Source organism: Homo sapiens, chromosome 16 (assembly GCF_000001405.40).
Source record: "Homo sapiens chromosome 16, GRCh38.p14 Primary Assembly".
Lineage (NCBI taxonomy): Eukaryota > Metazoa > Chordata > Mammalia > Primates > Hominidae > Homo > Homo sapiens.
Genome location: NC_000016.10, coordinates 57,689,581 through 57,709,256, shown reverse-complemented (window position 1 = coordinate 57,709,256; position 19,676 = coordinate 57,689,581). Strand labels below are relative to the sequence as shown.

General features: G+C 51.0%; 1 protein-coding gene across 9 annotated transcripts in view, besides 3 other annotated features; it reads right to left on the bottom strand.

Moving 5' to 3' along the window:
* The window catches only part of DRC7 (dynein regulatory complex subunit 7), a 37,000-nt gene extending 22,549 nt beyond the window's left edge, over window positions 1-14,451 (bottom strand). For 2 of the 9 annotated variants that reach the window (XM_047434768.1, XM_047434770.1), the window contains exons 1-8: window positions 14,405-14,451; window positions 12,663-12,854; window positions 11,105-11,344; window positions 10,233-10,407; window positions 8,987-9,112; window positions 7,127-7,321; window positions 4,223-4,381; window positions 1,579-1,797 (exon numbers count right to left, since the gene is read on the bottom strand). In XM_047434768.1, the coding sequence (XP_047290724.1) occupies window positions 1,579-1,797; window positions 4,223-4,381; window positions 7,127-7,321; window positions 8,987-9,112; window positions 10,233-10,407; window positions 11,105-11,307 (1,077 nt within the window). In that variant the 5' untranslated portion in view covers window positions 11,308-11,344; window positions 12,663-12,854; window positions 14,405-14,451. Of the gene's footprint in view, window positions 1-1,578; window positions 1,798-4,222; window positions 4,382-4,662; window positions 4,815-7,126; window positions 7,322-8,986; window positions 9,113-10,232; window positions 10,408-11,104; window positions 11,345-12,662; window positions 12,855-14,404 lie in introns of those variants that run through there. The other 7 variants (NM_001289162.2, XM_047434769.1, XM_047434771.1 and 4 more) reach the window with 5 other exon arrangements.
* Window positions 19,016-19,065: an enhancer, noted in NCBI's record as "active region_10909". NCBI's record gives its function as "activates an Ori minimal core promoter by ATAC-STARR-seq in GM12878 lymphoblastoid cells {active_cell/tissue: GM12878}" and the evidence as "EXISTENCE:reporter gene assay evidence [ECO:0000049][PMID:35858748]".
* Window positions 19,116-19,165: an enhancer, noted in NCBI's record as "active region_10908". NCBI's record gives its function as "activates an Ori minimal core promoter by ATAC-STARR-seq in GM12878 lymphoblastoid cells {active_cell/tissue: GM12878}" and the evidence as "EXISTENCE:reporter gene assay evidence [ECO:0000049][PMID:35858748]".
* Window positions 19,306-19,415: an enhancer, noted in NCBI's record as "active region_10907". NCBI's record gives its function as "activates an Ori minimal core promoter by ATAC-STARR-seq in GM12878 lymphoblastoid cells {active_cell/tissue: GM12878}" and the evidence as "EXISTENCE:reporter gene assay evidence [ECO:0000049][PMID:35858748]".

Here is a 19,676-nt window from a genome sequence, read left to right as displayed (position 1 = left end):
GAACTGATTGTATATGCAGAAAACCCCAAAGTCTTTACAGATTAATTTTTAAAATGAATAAGCAGGTTTAAAACTTACTGGATATGTGAACAGTTTGCAAAAAGCAATTGCTTTTTTTTTTTTTTTTTGAGACAGAGTCTTGCTTTGTCGCCCAGGCTGGAGTGCAGTGACGCAATATAGGCTCACTACAACCTCCGCCTCCCAGATTCAAGCAATTCTTCTGCCTCAGCCTCCCAAGTAGCTGGGATTACAGGTGCCCACCACCACACTTGGCTATTTTTTGTATTTTTAGTAGAGACGGGGTTTCACCATGTTGGCCAGGCTGGTCTTGAATTCCTGACTTCAAATGATCCACCCTCCTCAGCCTCCCAAAGTGCTGGGATTACAGGTGTGAGCCCCCACACTCAGCCAAAAATCAATTGCATTAAATAAAACCACAGTGCAATACCATTACATGTCCACTACAATAGCTAAAATGGAAAAGAAAGTATCCAGTATTGGCAAGGATGTGGATGGAGCTCTGAGAACCCTCATACATTGCTGGTGGGAGTGTAAATGGATGCAATCACTTGAGAAATCGGGCAGTATCTACTAAAACTGAGTATGTGCCCACCCTGTGACTCAGCGATTCCACCCCTCAGTAGTTACCCAACAGAAATGTGTGTATGTGTTCACTGAAATATATGTATACAAATATTCATGGCGGCATTATTCAAAATAGTCCCAAACTGGACACAGTCTCAATGTGCAACTGTAGAAAGGACAAATAAGTTCTGGTGTATTCAAATAATGGAAAGTAATAAAAAATGAAAATGAACAAACCACACAAAAAACCACAATGAATTTCATAAACATAATGAGTGAAGGAATCCAAGAGTAAGAGTATTGAATCACTGTGTGATTCAACTGATGTAAACTCCAAAAACAGATGAAACTAATGGATGTCGTTAGAAGTCAAGATAGTGCTTAACTCTGGGGACGATGGTAGGGTTGGTGGCCAGGAGGAGACATGAGGGGGCTTCTAATGGTCCTGGCTACACAGGTGTGTTCAGTGTGTGATAATTCAATGGTATGTACACTTAGGATTGTGACCTCCTCTGTACCCTCTTGTAGGCGCGTGTGTGTACCAGTGCCACATACGTGAGTTAAAAATACATTTGGAGGAAGATAGTAATTGTGCAAAGGGACTTTGTGGGGTTTGGGCAATATTCTATTTCTTGGTCTGGGTGTAGGAAACCAAGGTGTGTTAAATTTGTGGGATTTCACTGAACTGTATGTATGCATGGGATGAGTGTACTTTTCTGCATGTAGGTTACACTTCAATATAGAGTTTTTAAAAAATGCATTCAAACAATCCACACTTTAGAAGGATACACAAATCAGGAGAGACAATAATCGTATCAGAATGGTTATTCATGGGCAAGGGAGTGGGCCATGGAGACGCAGCTATGGAGAAGGTTCAAAGCCCTCGTGGCCTGGTGTCTCGCTCTCCCCAAGGTCTGGCTGCCATTGCTTCCCTCTATTCCTATCACCTGCACTGTGCCTGCCACACCCACCCAGCTCCCCCTCCCTAGGCACCTTGCAGCAGTTCCAGCAATCCTGCATGTTGATCCAGTAGTTCTTGTGGTTCCACAGGCTTTCGATGCCCAGGAAGTGCTCATCCTGGGTGCTGTAGCTATGTCCTGTGAATGGGTCGATGAAGAAGTTCTCAGGCACCTCGCGCTTCCCCGATAGCACAAGGACCCAGGAGTGCACCCGCAGGCCGTGCAGGGCATCCGGCTTTGCCTTCTCCGCTTCCTGCCAAGGAAAGGTGGGTGACTACGAGTCAGATGGCTGGAAGAGGAGTGTCAGGGGCCCAGACATCTCCCTGGGGCTGGGGAACCAGCAGGAGAGCTGAGTTCTGATGTAGACTGCACCATCAACCGGAGTGTGACGGCCCATCTCCCCTCCCATCACCCAACCACTGAGCCCATTTGTAAAATCAAAACAATGGGAGAGTCTGACTAGATCTGTGGTTTACAAATCGGACTCTTTGGGGCACTGGGCATCTGGGGGTTACCGGCTTTATATGTTATGACTTTGGGTGAGGTTTCATCCACAGAAAGGAAATGGGAGACCAAGTACCTTTCTTATCTGCCTCCCTCTGAGAGAACTGTGACTGTCTTGTTGTTCATTGTTATGTATAAATAGGTCTGGACCAGAAAAGAAGCTCAAGGAATACTCTATGGAAGGAAAGGAAAGAAGGGAGTGGGGAAAGAGGATTGGAGGAAGGATAGGAGTGTGGAGTTGGAAGAAGAGATGGGAGATGGGTAGGAGGATGGCTGGCAGGATGGATGAGAGGACTGATGGCAGGAAAAATGGATAGGAGGATGCATGGGAGGAGAGAGGGGAGGATGGATGGATGGGAGGATGGGTGGATGGGAGGATGGATGGATGGGAGGATGGGTGGATGGGAGGATGGATGGATGGGAGGATGAGTGAGACAATGGATGGATGGGAGAACAGTGGGTAGGAGGGTGGATGGATGGGAGGATGGACGGATGGGAGGATGGGTTGGAGGAGAAATGGAAGGAAGGATGGATGGATCGGAGGATGGTGAGAGGATGGATGGGAGAATGGATGGGAGGATGGACGGATGGGGGGGTGGGTGGGAGGATGGACGGATGGGAGGATGGGTGGATGGGAGGATGGATGGATGGGAGGATGGGAGGATGGGTGGATGGGTGGATGGGAGGGTGGGAGGATGGATGGATGGAAGCATGGATGAGAGGACGGATGGATGGGAGGATGGATGGATGGGAGGAGAAATGGGAGGATGGATGGATGGGAGGATGAGTGGGACAATGGATGGATGGGAGAACAGTGGGTAGGAGGGTGGATGGATGGGAGGATGGACAGATGGGAGGATGGGTTGGAGGAGAAATGGAAGGAAGGATGGCTGGATCAGAGGATGGTGGGAGGATGGATGGGAGAATGGATGGGAGGATGGATAGTTGGGAGGATGGACGGATGGGAGGGTGGGTGGGAGGATGGATGGATGGGAGGATGGGTGGATGGGAGGATAGATGGATGAGAGGATGGGAGGATGGGTGGATGGGAAGATGGGTGGATGGGAAGATGGGAGAATGGATGGATGGAAGCATGGATGAGAGGATGGATGGATGGGAGGATGGATGGATGGGAGGCAAAATGGGAGGATGGATGGATGGGAGGATGGGTGGATGGGAGGATGGATGGATGGGAGGATGGTGGGAGGATGGATGGATGGGAGGATGGTGGGAGGATGGATGGATGGAAGGATGGATGGGAGGATGGATGGATGAGAGGATGGATGGGAGAATGGATGGATGGATGGGAGGATGAGTGGGATGATGGATGGATGGGAGAATAAGTGGGTAGGAGGGTGGATAGATGGGAGGATGGATGGATGGGAGGATGGATGGGAGGAGAAATGGGAGGATGGATGGATGGGAGGATGGATGGATGGGAGGATGGATGGGAGGAGAGATCAGAGGGTGGATGGGAGGATGGATGGATGGGAGGATGATGGATGGGAGGATAAATGGGAGGATGGATGGATGGATGGGAAGATGGATGGATGGGAGGATGGGTGGGAGGATGGATGGATGGAAGGATGGATGGGAGGAGAGATGGGAGAATGGATGGTTGGGAGGATGGATGGATGGGAGGTGGGTGGGAGGACAGATGGATGGGAGGATGGGTGGATGGGAGGATGGATGGATGGAAGGTTGGGTAGGAGGATGGATGGATGGGAGATGGACAGATGGGAGGATGAATGGGAGGAGAGATCAGAGGATGGATGGGAGGATGGATGGATGGATGGATTGGCGAATGGGAGGATGGATGGGAGGGGAGATGGGAGGATGGATGGGAGGAGAGATGGGAGGATGAATGGATGGGAGGGTGTATGCAGGTATATCCCCAGTAAGAGTCTAGAGCAAAGAGGACACCAGAGCTGCCTAGCATAGAATGGGCTGCCCCAGGCAGTACAGTGCCCTGATGTTAGGAGTCCATCATGAGAAGCTGGCTGACCACCAGTGGGAGATTCCTGCAGGGCCAGGTAGAGGTTGGGGGTGATTGTGAGGTGGACCTAGTTGGGGGGTCCATACACACATCCCCTCCATGACCTATGCCTCTTTTCCCATCCCTAGCAGTCCTTTCTCGATAGCTGAGCCCAGGGGATTCAGGGCTGAGGACCCACCATGAGGCGCTCCTCCTCCTCCCTCAGCCGCTTCTTCTCCTGGGCTCTGATCTCCTGCTGCTTCTTCACCTCTTGCTCCTGCTCAAACCTGCTGCACAGGTCCCTGGGGGGTTTGATGGTATACTTCTTAGGCAGCACCTTTTCCTCCTTCTTGATGGTCTGTCACCCAAAAGAAGAGGAAGGGTCAGTGGCCCTGCATCCCCCCTTTACATGTGCAACTCCAAGAGGTGAGACCCGCCCAGCCAGTCCCTCAGACCGGGGGATGGCAGCTACTCCTGTAGCCTGTGGCCTTTCTGGCTCTAAATGCAGCTCCAGCTCCATGACCTTGGGAGGTCCTCTCACTTCTCTGAATCTCAGGTTCATGGTGTGAGAATAATAGGAACTTTCTCCCCAGCCTCTTTCTGAGAAGTAAAGACAGAAAAAATGCCCGAGGGAGGTACCTGTCAGGGCCAGGAGCTCAGGAGGTGTGGCTTTCTCCTCTTCAATCCTCACCACCCATCCTAGCCATGACCTGGGTCTGATCCAGAAGTGGGGAGAATTGTCAGGAGTTGGATTTTTCAGATCTTGTCATCGGAGGGCCTCATATGTTGACTTTAACAGTTTGCTGGGCCAGGAAGGAGAAGAAACCGTGTGTGTGTGTGTGTGTGTGTGTGTGTGTACGCTTGCGTGTCTACAAATGTGTGCTAAGTGGCAAGAAGTATTCCCAGGAAAGAGCACTGCAGAGGCTGCAGAGGTGGGCCTGTGATAGTCATGAAGGAGAAATAGTGAATCTCCAGCGTTTCAAGTTCCCTGAGTCTCCATTTTCCTGCTGTGTGACTTTGGCCACATTATGTTACCTTTTGATTTCATCAACATACTCATCTGTAACATAAAAGTGACAATATCTACCACACTGGGCCATCGTGGGGAGCAACAAGCACAATGGACATGAAAGCGGATTTTAAACCCGAAAGTTCTCTGCATCTGTTTGTTATTGATATAATGTTAATCATTAAGCTTTTGGCTGAGCTGAGAGCTGAGATGCCCGGGTGGGAGCTCAGAGGCTTTTTTTTTTTTTTTTTTTTTTTGGAGCCAGAGTATCCCTCTGTTGCCCAGGCTGGAGTGCAATGGTGCGATCTCAGCTCACTGCAACCTCCACCTTGCAGGTTCAAGCGATTCTCCTGGCTCAGCCTCCCGAGTAGCTGGGTTTACAGGCATGCACCACCACACCCAGCTAATTTTTATATTTTTAGTAGAGACGGGGTTTTGCCATGTTGGCCAGGCTGGTCTGGAACTCCTGCGCTCAAGTGGTCCACTTGCCTCAGCCTCCCAAAATGCTGAGATTACAGCCTCCCAAAATGAGCCACCGTGCCCAGCCAGAGGCTTTTGAAGCCAAAAGCCATGGCGGAGCTCGTGCTCCATCTTCTCTTGGGGAGGTGGGCCTGAGAGAGCAAGGCTCTTCTTGTGCTTCCCCTTCTGTCTCGCCCTTCTCCCACCAGAGCACCCACCCTGGGGTCCCTGGGTGCTCACCCAGGTATAACCCAGGTACACAGTGATCCTGCTGGATGCCTCAGGTCCCTGGATCCCCATCTCCAAGCTGCGGACACCCACAGGAGCCTGACCCTGATCCCAGAGTCCTGGAATTAATCCACCTCATGAAGAGCATTTTCTGTCTGTAGCATGACTATTTTCTAAATGTAAAGAGATGCATTTGTGATTCTGATATTCATTCCAGAGTATTTCTTGTGTCTGTAGCAGCCTGTGGTCCTTATGGAGATCTTAATGAGCAGATCTAAAAACACAGCCACCAGCCACTGAACAGTTGGTGATTTTTTTTTTTTTTTTTTTTTTTTTTGCTATTAAAAAGGGGCCTTGAGGGCCAGGCACGGTGGCTCAGGCCTATAATCCCAGCACTTTGGAAGGCTGAGGCGGGAGGATTGCTTGAGTCCAGGAGTTCACGACCAGCCTGGACAACATAGTGAGAACCTATAAAAAACAAACAAAATTAGCTGGCCGTGGTGGTACTCGCCTGTAGTCTCAGCTACTTGGGAGGCTGAGGCAGGAGGACGGCTTGAGTCCAGGAGGTTGAGGTTGCAGTGGGCCGAGATCATGCCACTGCACTCCAGCTTGAGTGACAGAGTGGAAGAGACCCTGTCTCAAAAAAAAAGCAGGCTTTTTACCTCGGGAGTGTGGGACTGAGAACCAAATGTCTGTTCACTTGTCTGTTATTTTTTATTTCTTTTATTTATTTTTTGAGATGGAGTCTTGCTCTGTCACCCAGGCTGGAGTGCAATGGCGCAATCTCAGTTCACTGCAGCCTTTGCCTCCCGGGTTTCAAGTGATTCTCCTGTCTCAGCCTCCTGAGTAACTGGGACTACAGGCACATGCCACCATGCGTGGCTAATTTTTTTGTATTTTTGATAGAGACAGGGTTTCGCCATGTTGGCCAGGCTGGTCTCGAACTCCTGACCTCAAGTGATTTGCTCGCCTTGGACTCCCAAAGTGCTGGGATTACAGGCATGAGCCACCGCACCTGGCCTATTTTCTTATATAAAAATGGCTGGCTGGATTTTTATCAAATGCATAGGGTAAATTTGGAATCGTTTGACTTAAGATATAAGCTATGTGGCATTCATAAAATTTACCAAGCAGGGAGCATAGTAGCTGAAAACTGAGTTACAACAGACAGAGAAGAACAGCCAGCTTGGAAAACTGGGCTGGATGTGTTAAGACACCGAGGACATAAATCACTGGTGGTTTGAAATATGAACTCCAGGGCAGCGGAAGGGCTGGTGGTGAGGGATCTGTGTCCGCGTGGCCAGGGCTGGGGATGAGGCGGCAGTGATGGACGTCTCTAAGGATGGCACGACAGCACCGGGAATGTTCATCCTTTGGGAAACCCGGGCAGCTCAAGCCCGACCATACCTCCTTGGGCTTCACAGTGAGTGGGCACACCTCCCGCGTCAGGTCCATGTGGCACAGGTCCAGCGAGCCGTAGCCGTTGACGCAGTAAGCATCATAGCCAGAGCCGATAAGCATGGAGCAGAGCAGCGTACTGAAGTCAAAGCAGTTCCCCTTCTGGTACTTGAGCACAGTGGTCGAGGAGTACAGGTGCGAGGGCTGGTCACAGTGGGACGGTCAGCACAGCTGGGGCCCCGCTGCCCCAGCCTGTCCTCCCCACCGGTCACAGCCCACCACCTGTCAGGGTGGGGAGCCAGGACCAATGCACAGGCTGGACCTGCTTTGGGCCCCTAACCCTTGTGGGGTCAGGGAGCCTGCTAAGAATGGAATGACAACCAGACACCATGCCATTCACATTTGCCTGTCATTTGAAGGGGCTATGGACTTCCTGATAGGGGGAAACCTTCTGGACTGTAGGAGTGTCTGATCTAATGCCCTCTGACTGGTAAGTTTACTGTTTTGCTCCAATGCTCCCCCTTCCTTCGATACCCACCTTTCCTCCTCCTCCCTTTATCAGTTCTCCACTGTTGACCTTGCCCTTTCTTCCTCCCTCCCTCTATTCTGAAGGAGAAGCTGACGAATTTGGTCAGAAGCCCAAAGATGGGGTTAGGGCCACGGGCAGCCGGGCCTCCCCTCTCTCTTTCCTGTACCGCTTGAAGCCATGGCAGGGAAGCTCTGAATGCAAAGGAGAAAAGAGGTGGGAACCAGAAGCCCAGGCTTGCTGTGTGTCCTCAGGCAAGTGGCTGTCTCTCTCTAGGCCTGTTTGCCCTTAGGGGCCCTGAGAGGCTGTACCCTGAGCCTGGCTGAGCTTCCTTTTCCCAGACCGTGCCTGACATCCCATTGAAGGAAATCATGTACACAGTGATCCGTTTCCAAGGCAAAGTGCCTTGAATAGGCTTAGGTCAGCAAACTACAAAAACCCCAGGATATACTAGGCCCCTGCTTGAATAGCCAATGCCTGTTTGTCAGCCTTCTCCTTCCTCCCCCTTACCTACCGCCTTAGTTGCCCTCACTCAAACCAAAAAAGTTTAGCCTAAGATAAAAGTTTACTAGTCTGCAAAATAGCTCGCTTTGTCTGTTCTTATCAGCCTGCCCAGCTACTCAGGTCATAAGTCAAATACTTAAAGAGCCCCTGAGCTAACTAGGATTGCAATGCATTGTGGGTTGCAATAAAATGCTGCAAAACAACCCTAGAAAAAACACCTAAAGCCCCTGCCTAACAATCAATAGGCGATGTCTGGGAAGATTGTGACCCCATAGTACTCAGCCTGTGAGGAACCAGGGGAGGGACCTGCGCACTAGGGGATAAACTGCTTGTTAAAACTATGCTGGGTGTGTCTGCCTATCAGACACCCAATCTTGCAAGACCATCATTAAAAGTCTCACTTTCGCTGTTCTCCAGGTCTCTAAGTCCATTCTTTTTTTTTTTTTTTTTTTTGAGAGAGTTTTTTGAGAGTTTTGCTCTTATCACTCAGGCTAGAGTGCAGTGGTGCCATCTTGGCTCACTGCAACTTCCGCTTCCCAGGTTCAAGCGATTCTCCTGCCTCAGCCTCCCCAGTAGCTAGGATTACAGGCATGTGCCACCACGCCCTGCTAATTTTTGTATTTTTAGTAGAGACGGGGTTTCGCCATGTTGGTCAGGCTGGTCTCAAACTCCTGACCTTGTGATCTGCCCGCCTTGGCCTCCCAAAATGCTGGGATTACAGGCATGAGCTACCACGCCCGGCCTCTAAGTCCATTCTTTGGGTTTGGATGGGTGAGTTTGTTTCTCACACCATCTTAGTCCTGGTGGGCTCAGGCATGCAGCCTGTGAGTGGTGCTTACCGGCTTGAGAGGGTCAGGCAGGGGCACCATGGTGAGGAAGTCGGAGACAAACTGGGCACAGCTGTCCCAGTTGTAGAGCTCGGGGTAGGGCATCAGTGTGGGCCGGAGGGTTGTGCTCACGAACTTCTGCAAGGAGAGAGATGGTGCCAGTGGGGTCAAGGCAATAAGAACTTGTGAGATCAAGCTTGGGGCCTTCCTTGAATCCACAGGGGGACCCTAGAGGCCTGAGCAAATGCAGGAGGCCAGGCCCACATGACCTGGGGTGGCAGAGCAGCCCTTGGCTGGGAAGGTGATGCCCAGATCTGGCACATGGCAGCCATCAGTGGCGCAGTGGCAATGACTGGGAGGCCCTTATCATGTTGCCAGCACCCGGAGACAGCACAAGCATATTCTGGATCTGGACTTTGAAGGGCTTTGAAGTTTTGCCGCCTTCAACCCCTAGGGCATTGTGGAGACACCTGAGGCCCAGAGCAGGCTTGAGAGCTGCCTGAGGTGACCCAGCAAGTCAGGGCTGAATGAGGAGATCAGGTCTGTTTCCTGGGGTTCCTGGGAGCACTGTGCTCTCCTCCCAGGAGCGATGCTCTCCCTGGGGCCTACAGAGGTTCTGGGCTGGGGCCAGCTGGCGACCAGTACAGTCTGAAGCCTCAGAGGTCAGCCTGTCCAGGGAAGGACAGAGAAATAAGACAAATTGGACCAGGACAGGCATAAGAACCTAAGCTCTGGCTTTTTCCTTCCAGCCCTGTGACCCAGAGCATGTCTCTGAGCCTTTCTGGGCCTCAGTTTCTCCATCTGTAGATGGAATGACATGGGATTCATCCAGGGGGTGGGAAACAGCTGCCCACGAGCTGACAGGGACCCACAGACCCGCTTTATTTGGCCCACGTGGCAATGTTTAGCATTTATGTCAGCTGCCAGCATTTAAAAACCAGAGACTCCCACACAAATCCCGAGTCTCCTCTTGATCAGGTAACCCCAGGCCTGCAGTTTCCCCGCAGCAATCAGCAGCTGCCTCTTTAGGCGGGGGCATGGGGTCTCCAGACCACCACCGCCCTCCAGGGTAATCTGCACTGAGCCTGCTGAGGCCTGCTGGCGTTCGACTTTATGTTGCCCCCAGACTAGAAGCGCTCTGGCCCACAGGAGGTCCGTGATTTGGCCCAGTGACCTTGGAGAACCTGCCCCACTTCCCTGTGCCCTCTGCTCTCCAGCCCCAGGCTCCCCAGCCCTGCCCTCAACATGCCAGCCTTACGGGCACTTCACACTCGTTCAGGGGGTGCAGGAAGAGGGGCACGCGGTCCGGGCACAGATGGCTGTACTGGCGGGAGAAGTTGTCTGCCACCTGCAGCAGGTGTTCCTCCTTGGGTGTGTTGGTTTTGTAGGAAATGGGCAGCTTGGAGATGTCAATAGTGTCCTTGGTAAAGGCCCTGTGCCACAACAGGGATGGCATTAGGGAAGCCATGCCTGGCACACAGGAGCCCTGGTTCCACTGAGTTGCCATTGGCTCTACCCCTTCCTCATTTAATCCTCACGGCTACTGAGAAGGCAGGTATCATTAACATCTGCACATTTTCATATATATATTTAAGAGACAGGTCTTGCTCTGTTGCCCAGGCTGGAGTGTGATAGCACAATCATAGCTCACTGCAGCCTTGAACTCCTGGGCTTAAGTGACCCTCCCACCTCAGCCTCCCAAGTAGCTGGGACTATAGGCACCACCACACCTGGCTAATTTTTGTATTTTTTGTAGACATGGGTGGGGGGGTCTTGCTATGTTGCCCGGGCTGGTCTCGAACTCCTGGCCTCAAGCGATCCTCCCACCTTTTCCTTCTAAAGTGCTGGGACTACAGATGTGAGACACAGCGCCTGGCCAGCACCTGCACTTTTAGACAGATAAAGGCACTGAGGCACCGAGAGGCTGAGTGACTTGCCCAAGGTCACACAGCTAGTTGGGAGAGCATGGACACTCGGCCCAGGCCATTTGAAAGCAGAAAGCCTTCACTCATAACTGCTTCCCTCTATCTCCTGGTCACCCTACCAGACCAGGCACCAGCACTCTGCCTGGGTCTCCCTGTGCCCAGCCCCGGTCTACCCTTGCCAGGGCCCCCACCCTGCCACACTCACGGGAGCTCCGCTGAGACAGTGATCTGGATCTCTGACAGCTTCTTCTCCAGGTCTCTGAGCGTCTCCTGCTTTAAGGTGATTTCCTCCTTCCGCACCTCAACTGGCCTCATCATTTTCTCCATCCTCGCCCATTCAGCCCACTCGGCCGCCTCCTCCCGCTCGGCCTCCTCCTCCTCCTCCACCTTCTCCCTCAGGACCTCCATTCTGGAGCGTCTCTGGGTGTCTGGAGATGGAATGTCTCTGTGGGGAAGGGTAAGTATACTCCATGGCCGACTGTCAGCCCAGGCAGGAGCCACCAACACCATCTGGGCATCCCCGGGAGGCCTGGGAGATGGTTTTGAGGAGGTGTCGAACACATAGGGAGTGATTCCCTCTTTGACTTCCTTTCAAACATGGAGAAAGTCTCTGTTTGGTGCTACCCCATCTGTAACACCTTTCTAATCCTGGCAAATATTCCTTTACAACAAAGACAAAGCAGGCCTCCGGTTGGAAGCCATCCTCAGGACAGGACAGGGAAAGGCACGTGTCGATTTGCTTTTAGTATATTTGACAGTTATCTTTTTTTTTAAATTTTTTATTTTTTTGAGACAGGGTCTTGCTCTGTCACTCAGGCTTGGAGTGCAGCAGCACGATCATGGCTCACCGCAGCTTCAAACTCCCAGGCTCAAGCAATCCTCCCACCTCAGCCTCCCCAGTAGCTGAGACCACAGGTGCACACCACCACACCTGGCTATTTTTTTTTTTTGGTAGAGACAGGGTCTGGCTATGTTGCCCAGGCTCAAACTCCTGGCCTCAAGCGATCTTCCTGCTTTGGCCTCCCAAAGTGCTGGGATTACAGGCATGAGCCATTGTGCCAGCTGACAGTTATCAATGACAAGTACTGTGAATGCTGTGGGGATTACTATAGTATTGTCAAGTTTCTTATTTAAATAAATGAATTGGCTGGGTGCGGTGGCTCATGCCTGTGATCCCAGCACTTTGGGAGGCCGAGGCAGGTGGATCACTTGAGGTCAGAAGTTCGAGACCAGCCTGGCCAATATGGCGAAACCCCGTCTCTACTAAAAATACAAAAATTAGCCAGGCGTGGTGGCACACGCCTGTAATCCCAGCTACTCAGGAGTCTGAGGCAGGAGAATCACTTGAACCTGGGAGGCAGAGGTTGCAGTAAGTTGAGATCGCACCACTGCACTCTAGCCTGGGTGACAGAGTGAGACTCTGTCTCAAATAAATAATAAATAAATAGATTGGTTTAAAGAAAATCCTAACGGTAAGGTGATATGATCTACAACCCACCCAAAAATGAGGATGGCAGGTGAATGATATCTCACCTGATCAAACTGGGAACCGAGGCACAGAGAGTGAAGGTGCCTGCACCAGGGCATACAAACAGGGAGTGGGGGGTGGGGGTAACACAGCCTACTCTCTCTTGGCCAAGGCCTGTGTTGGCCCAGAGAACAGGCTTCATTCTGTGATCCACGCAGAGACGCCACATGTGCTCACCATATGTCCTGTGGTCACAGAGCAGAGCCACACTGAGCGGGGACTGCTAGTCACCTACCCAAAGATCCAGTCTCCTCTTCTATACGGCAGAACCCCAGTTGTGTGGGGGGCAGCAGTGTGCCTGGTTTGAATTGCTCAGCTTCCCAGATTCTCTTGCAGCTAGAGGTGGCCCTGCGATGTGACCCGGTTCTGGCCAATGAGATGTGGGCAGAAGTGATTGGGGAGCCCTCTGCCCTTCTCCTCCTCCCACCTGGAATGTGGAGATAAAGTGGGAGGTGGGGCAGCCAAGGCGAGACCATGAGGTGGCCACACATGAGGGCTAAAGCTGCCTGCTATGGACGGCAGGGCCGAGAGATGGGGGAGCTGGGGTCCCCAGCAGTGCCACAGAGGCCTGGAGTGCCACCTCTAGCCTTTCCTTATATAAGAAACCTCAGCTTCTATGGGGGTCCCTGTTCCACACCACCCAACGCCATCCCAGCTGATGCACTATCTGCAGCCTCCCAGCTGGGGTCTTTCCATTTCTGTCCTCGAACATCTGTTTTCCTTACGGCAAATGGGGGTCCAGAGATGAGGAAAACAAACGAAACCCACAGGACAAAGGGGGCGAGTAGTAAGGAAAAAAAGCAGAATCCCCTTGATTTTCTAATCATCCCCCACTTCCCTGGGTGAAGCCAGGAGCAAGAGGGCAGAAGGGAGCAGCAGATAAAGGCTGGCCCCAATTTCCAACTCCACACCCACATGGGCCACCTCGGCCTCCTAGGGAGGTGAGTCCCTGGCCACCAGCCACGACTGAGCCTGGTTGGGGAAACCCTGGCTTTGCCAGTAGCTCCTGCTGGACCCTTGGGTCACTGTCTGCGCCTTTCTGTGCCTTAGTTTCTCTTTATAGTAGGAAGGGAGGGCAGATATTTTCTGTCCAATTCTGACATTCTGTGCTCTGGGACTCAGGAGGGGACGAATGCTCATCTGGCTGGAAGCCACCCAAGGCCTAGGTAGCCCAACACCATTCAGGACCCCAGATCCTCAGGGGAGAACCTCTAGCCAAGCAGCACTTCTCAGTGATCAGATCCATTTGTTGGCCTCTTGGTCCCAGAGACAATGAGCCCAGGAAGGGCAGTCATCACCATTACAAGGCATTTACAGTTTGCTGAATGCCTACTGTGTGTCAGACCTGTGCTGAGGGTTGTACGGAGATCATCTCACTTATCCTCTACTGACTCTATGAGGCAGACACTGAGGACACCCACTTTGCAGATGAGAAGATTGGGGCCCAGAGAAGTTAAGTGCACTGCTTAAGGTACAGCCAGTAAGTAGCAGGTCTGGGATTTGAACCCCTGTATTTCTGGTTGTGAAACCTGTGTGTCTCAGGCTGGAAGAGATATGAGATGGGGAAGTGCTAGAAGGGATGGTGGGGGTGGGGGAGTGGTGGGCAAGGAAAGAAGTAGGCTGAAGAGGAAGCCGACGTGTCAGTCCCAGAACACCATCAGAGGCAGAGCTGGGGAGAAGAACCCACAGCACTTTATTCCCTACACAGGTGGCCTCTTCAGCTATAGCCCAGTGTGGGGAAGGCAGTCTTATCTCAAGGTTCCTTAGATTCTGCCCCAACCCACCGGCCCTTCCCTGCACCCCCTCTCCACCAGCAACTTCCTCCTCCCAACACACATAAACACGCACACACACCCCACCAACAACTTCCCCAGAAAGATCAGGGCTGGAGGCCCCCAGGCAGAAGGGGGCCACCAGCCTCACCCTTTCCCTGCCAGACAGGGTCCAGCCACCCCAAGTCCCTTGCTCCCTCCTCACCCCTCCGAGGACAGCCTGCTCTAGCTGTTAGCCATCTCCATGGTAACAACCTGGGAAGCTGAACGCCGGTCCTGGGAGAGGAGGCTTCTGGGAAATGTAGTCTTCCCAGGTTTCATGGGTCCTTCTGCCAGCGGTGCACTGGTATAGTGGGGCATCAACTTGATAGTTGTTAAACTTTCCAAAATTTTTGTGAAACACAGCCATTATTAAAAATTAAGAGGGCTGGGCACGGTGGCTCACACTTGTAATCCCAGCACTTTGGGAAGCCAGGGCGGGAGAATCCTTTGAGCCCATGAGTTCAAAACCAGCCTGGGCAATATATAGTGAGAACCTCTCTAAAAAAAAAAAAAAAAAAAATTGGCCATGGGGTTATTTACACCACAAAAATTAGCAAACGCCAAGACCAGGGCTTTTCCTCTGAGCCAGCCAGTTGTTAAACATTTACCAGCACAGCACAGCCCCTGCCCCACGGCATGCCGAATGTGGCCTTGATCGAGACAGACAGAAACCAGTGTGGGGCCTGGAGTAGCTGCCAGCTGCGGTGGACAGAACCAGGCTGCCTTGACTGAGTCCTGGGTTCTAGTCCAGGCCGGAGCTGTGATGTAGAACATTACCTCGAAGTACGGGGAAAACCTATCCATTAGGCTAGTGGCTCATGAAAATGTTTAATTTCTTTTAAATTCAGAAGAAAAAAATGAGAATAATAATGACTATATAAGTGTGAATCTGCCCTGAATTATATCTGTGTTTTTACCAATACAGTCCTAAAATATAATCTTCACTGTTTTATTTTTGGAGGGAGGGGTGCATGGGCCTTTTTTGGTCAGGGGATAGGGCTGCCAGGAGGGAATCCAGACTGTCACTGTGCTGACAAGTTTGCACAGTTAGTGTTACTGCTAGAAACTTAGGAATTGCCTCAATTCTCATGAATAGAGAATGATGTTCCCCCTCCCAGCTGGAATATCATGCAGCCATAAAAATAAGCTGTAAAGGATCAATTGCACTGTGGAGAGCTCACGAGACAGTGTGTGTAGTATTTCAGACTTGGTGCTAAAGGATCAATTGCACTGTGGAGAGCTCACGAGACAGTGTGTGTAGTATTTCAGACTTGGTGCTAAGCAACTCGTAATTACCTCTGTGGGGAACTGGCTGGGATGAAGGCAGGAAGGGAGGAGGGAGGAGAAAGGAAAACAGGTGATGCGTTATGCTAGTGGGATGCAGCATAGGCTTCATTGTCCTTTTTCAACCCTATGCAACACTTCATTCCTTTTACATATTTATTCATTCCTTTTTCTCTTCATACCCACTTTCATTTCCCACCTCTATAAAGTAACCATTCTGATGTGTATTTTTTTTTTCCAAAATGAGTATTGTTTGGCATGCTGGTGTTTTTAATATATGTTTAATATGAGACTGAACAAATATATCCTTCTGGTTCTTATATTTTCATGAAGGGCTGTGTTTTTAAGATCTCTCCACGTTATTGTGTGGATCCACACTTATTACCTCTTCGTCCTTCCAGTGACGGGCACTCGGTGTCCAGGTGTTCTAGAGGGAGCTTTCAATGTCCCCAGGCACTGATAGTTGTTTAGGTTGTTGCTGGAAACATGGAAAGATCAAACAAATGCTAAACGTGCCCCAGCCCTGAACCGAATCCCTTAAACACTCATATAAACTCCATAAACCCACCTCCTCGTTATGAACAGACTCATCTCCCTTCTTGCTGTCTGTCATGAGAACACTACAGCCTTCCCTATGTACGTTTCCCTAATAAATGCTTTGGATGGATACGGATCACCCCGGCGCTTAGTGTTTATTTCTTTGGAATTCCAACTGGCCCTACCTCTTGACGGTTTGGGGCAGTCTTGAGGGAACTCCCCAGCAGACATTGGGTGGGCTGGACAGACCACTCAGATTTGCTACCAGCTCCCTTCCATCACAGACAATGCTACACAGGTCTAGAGGGGTCTAGATCTGGAAGAATGTTTCTTCAAGATAAACAACCAGTAGCAAGATTGCTGGCTCAGCAGAAGCACTGTGTTTTTCTCCAGGCAGCTGAAGCAGTCTAGACTCTCCCTGGCTCCCATATCGTCCCTGCCCATTGGTACCATCTAGCTTTCTAGTTCATCAGTTTAATAAGGATACAATGAGGTCTCATTGTCATTTCAGTCTGCAGCTCTCTGATGACTAATGATTTTAAATGTGTCTTCATGAACTAATGTGTTAGTTTTAGGTATTTCCTCCTCTGAAAATAATGATGCCACCTTTGTCACGTATTAAATCCCCCAGGTGTCCATGGGTCTGCCTCTGAGCACTCTGTGCTGTTCCACTGATCTTCTTTCCTATCCCTGCACAGACACCACGTTGCATTTACCAAACTGGCCTTGTAATATCTTTATGTCTAGAGGTCAAGTCTTCCTTCTATGCCCCTCTTTCTGTTTTTTCTTTCTGAGACAGGGTCTAGCTCTGTCGCCCAGGCTAGAGTGCACAGGCATGATCTCGACTCACTGCAACCTCCACCTCCTGTATGCCCTCTTTCATTAAGATTGACTTAGCTATTTGAGGTCTATATGCCTCCATATCAATTTTAAAAGTTTCTGGAGAAGCAAAAAAAAATAAATTAGAATATTTATTTTTTTCCCTTATTTTATTTTATTGTAGAGACAGGGTCTTGCTATGTTGCACAGGCTGTTCTGGAACTCCTGGGCTCAAGCAATCCTCCTGCTTCAGCCTCCCAAAGTGCTGAAATTAGAGATGTGAGCCACCGTGCCCGCCCCAAAATCTTTACTGTAATTTCATTGAATTCATTAACTGATGAAGGATTTATATCTTTTAGTGTTGCCTATCTGACAGCATGGAGCAAATAAGTCTTCTTTTTTCCTGTGTATTTGTTATGTTGTAATGAAAAAATACAAGGAATGAAGAGATTTGGGCAGAAGAGAGAACCAGGCAGGAGCCATGGCAGAAGGGACCCTCTCTGTACCCAGGACCTGATGAGATGATGGCCAAGGCAAAGCTCTGGCTTTGTCACATTCATTCTGGGCCAGGCAGGCCAGGCAGTGGGCAGTCCTTGCAGGCACTGTCTCATTTATTCATTTCCTTCATTAACCCTGTGGGGCAGCTACTGCTGTTTCTGCTTTACAGGCTCAGTAGTTGAAGAATTTGCCCAAGACAAGTTGCAAAGACAGAATTTGAAACTGGTGAACGGAGATCAGGGTCTGTGCTCCCACCTGTGATGATGGCCCACCTCCTAGGTTGCTATTGCTGCTGTGCAATGACGGAGGAACTCCATCCATCTGCTCTGGGCTTTGGGGTGTATTTTCACCATAGCCCCCTTGGCCTTATGGGTGCTCAACATGGCACTTGGAGCTGCTTTTGCAGGAACCGCAGGTGATGAGGAACTCCAGCCCCTCAGCCCCTGCCTAGCCCCAGGATGGAGAGCAAGCCAGAAAAGCAGTGCACCCCCAATGCTAGCCACACCTTCTTATCTGCCCTCTCCTTCTGAGCCAGGAGGCCCAGCCATCCAGGACTTGCGGTCTTGTTGGTCCCACAACAAGCACTAAGCATCCCACTAAGCAGTTTGGGAAACTCTGCAACCCAGGATTTTCCTTGAGACTGGGGGCTGGGACCAGATGATAATTCTTATTCTTCTTCTTTTTTCTGCTTCCTCCTCCTCCTTCTCCCTCCTTCTCCCTCCTTCTTCCTCCTCCTCCTCCTTCTCCCTCCTTCTTCCTCCTCCTCCTTCTCCCTCCTTCTTCCTCCTCCTCCTCCTTCTCCCTCCTCTTCCTTCTCCTCCTTCCTTCTCTTCCTTCTTCTCCTCCTTTTTTTTTTTAAAAACATGGTCTTGATTTGTCATCCAGGCTGGAGTGCAGTTACGTCATCATAGCTCACTGCAGTCTTGAACTGCTGGGCTCGAGTGGTCTTCCTGCTTCTTCTTCCAAGTAGCTACCATGCCTAGATATATTTTTTTTTTTTAAGAGACAGAGTCTTGCTCTGTTGCCCAGGCTGGAGTACAGTGGCACAATCTCAGCTCACTGCAACCTCCACCTCCCAGGTTCAAGCAATTCTCCTGACTCAGCCTCCTGAGTAGCTGGGACTGCAGGCGCACGCCACCATGTCCAGCTAATTTTTTTTGTATTTTAGTAGAGACGGGGTTTCACCATGTTGCCCAGGCTGGTCTCGAACCCCTGGGCTCAAGCAATCCTCTTGCCTTGGCCTCCCAAAGTGCTATGACTACAGGTGTGAGCCACCAAGCCCAGTCAAGGACCAGGTGATAATCCTTAAACTCAGGGACCACTCTGGGATGAGGGCAACCCGGGGAGGCCTGGCCCTAGCTTCAACCCAGCCCATGGAGTGACCTTAGTTGGGCAGGTGGCTGGGCCTGTCTGGACCTCCATTTCCTCATGCCATTACCCTTGGCTGGTCTTTCTTTAAATCAAGGCAGGGTGGGGGAGCTGACTAACTCCTGCGGAGTCAGTGCTGGGCACTTTATTTCTGTCACTTCATTTAATGCTGTCAGGATGAGGTGAGGACTTTATAATCCCCATTTTATGGATGGGGAAACTGAGGCTCAGAGAGGTGAAGTAAAATGCCCAGGATCACACAGCTCCTAAGTAGCCGAGCCAGGATTTAAGCCCAGACCTATCAGATGGTGGAACAGCTGTTTCTCAGGTTACCATCCCTGAGGCTTTGAGATAAGGAAGTTGAGACCTTCAGTGTGAGAAACAGATGTCTGTGAAGATAAGCCCCAAAACACACCAAGTTTGTCCACCAGAACTGCTCCTGTGGCTCAAATGATGCAATGTCCACGCCCCAGAATTTCCCTTCCAGGAACACAGCGCCTTGCATAAAGTGAGGGCCCACCTTCCTGTCTTTCAACTGCTTGTGGGCTGGGAGGGGAAGCGAAGCGCATCCATTTGCAGTCAACGTCAGCACCCAGCATCCGGACGGGGAGGTGGGCTGCAGCCCGCAGCTTCCAGGGCTGTTGGGGGAGGCCTAACAGTGACAGTAACTTCTCACCTGCAGACAGGGCTTGACAGTCCACAGAGCTCCCTGGAGAGGGTCGGGGGCCGGGTAGGGAGAATGGTTGGTAAGTTGTGAGTAGAGTGAGGGATGGACTTGTGCGGTGAGGCTCCAGGGAGGGGAATGATGTCAACACTCACTGCTCCCCCCGAGGAGGGGGGTCGCTGGAGCCGGCGTGGGGCTGCCATCTCTCTGCATCTGTCTCTCCGCCACCGTTCTCCCTCTTTGTGTCAGCCTGTCTGTTAAGTCT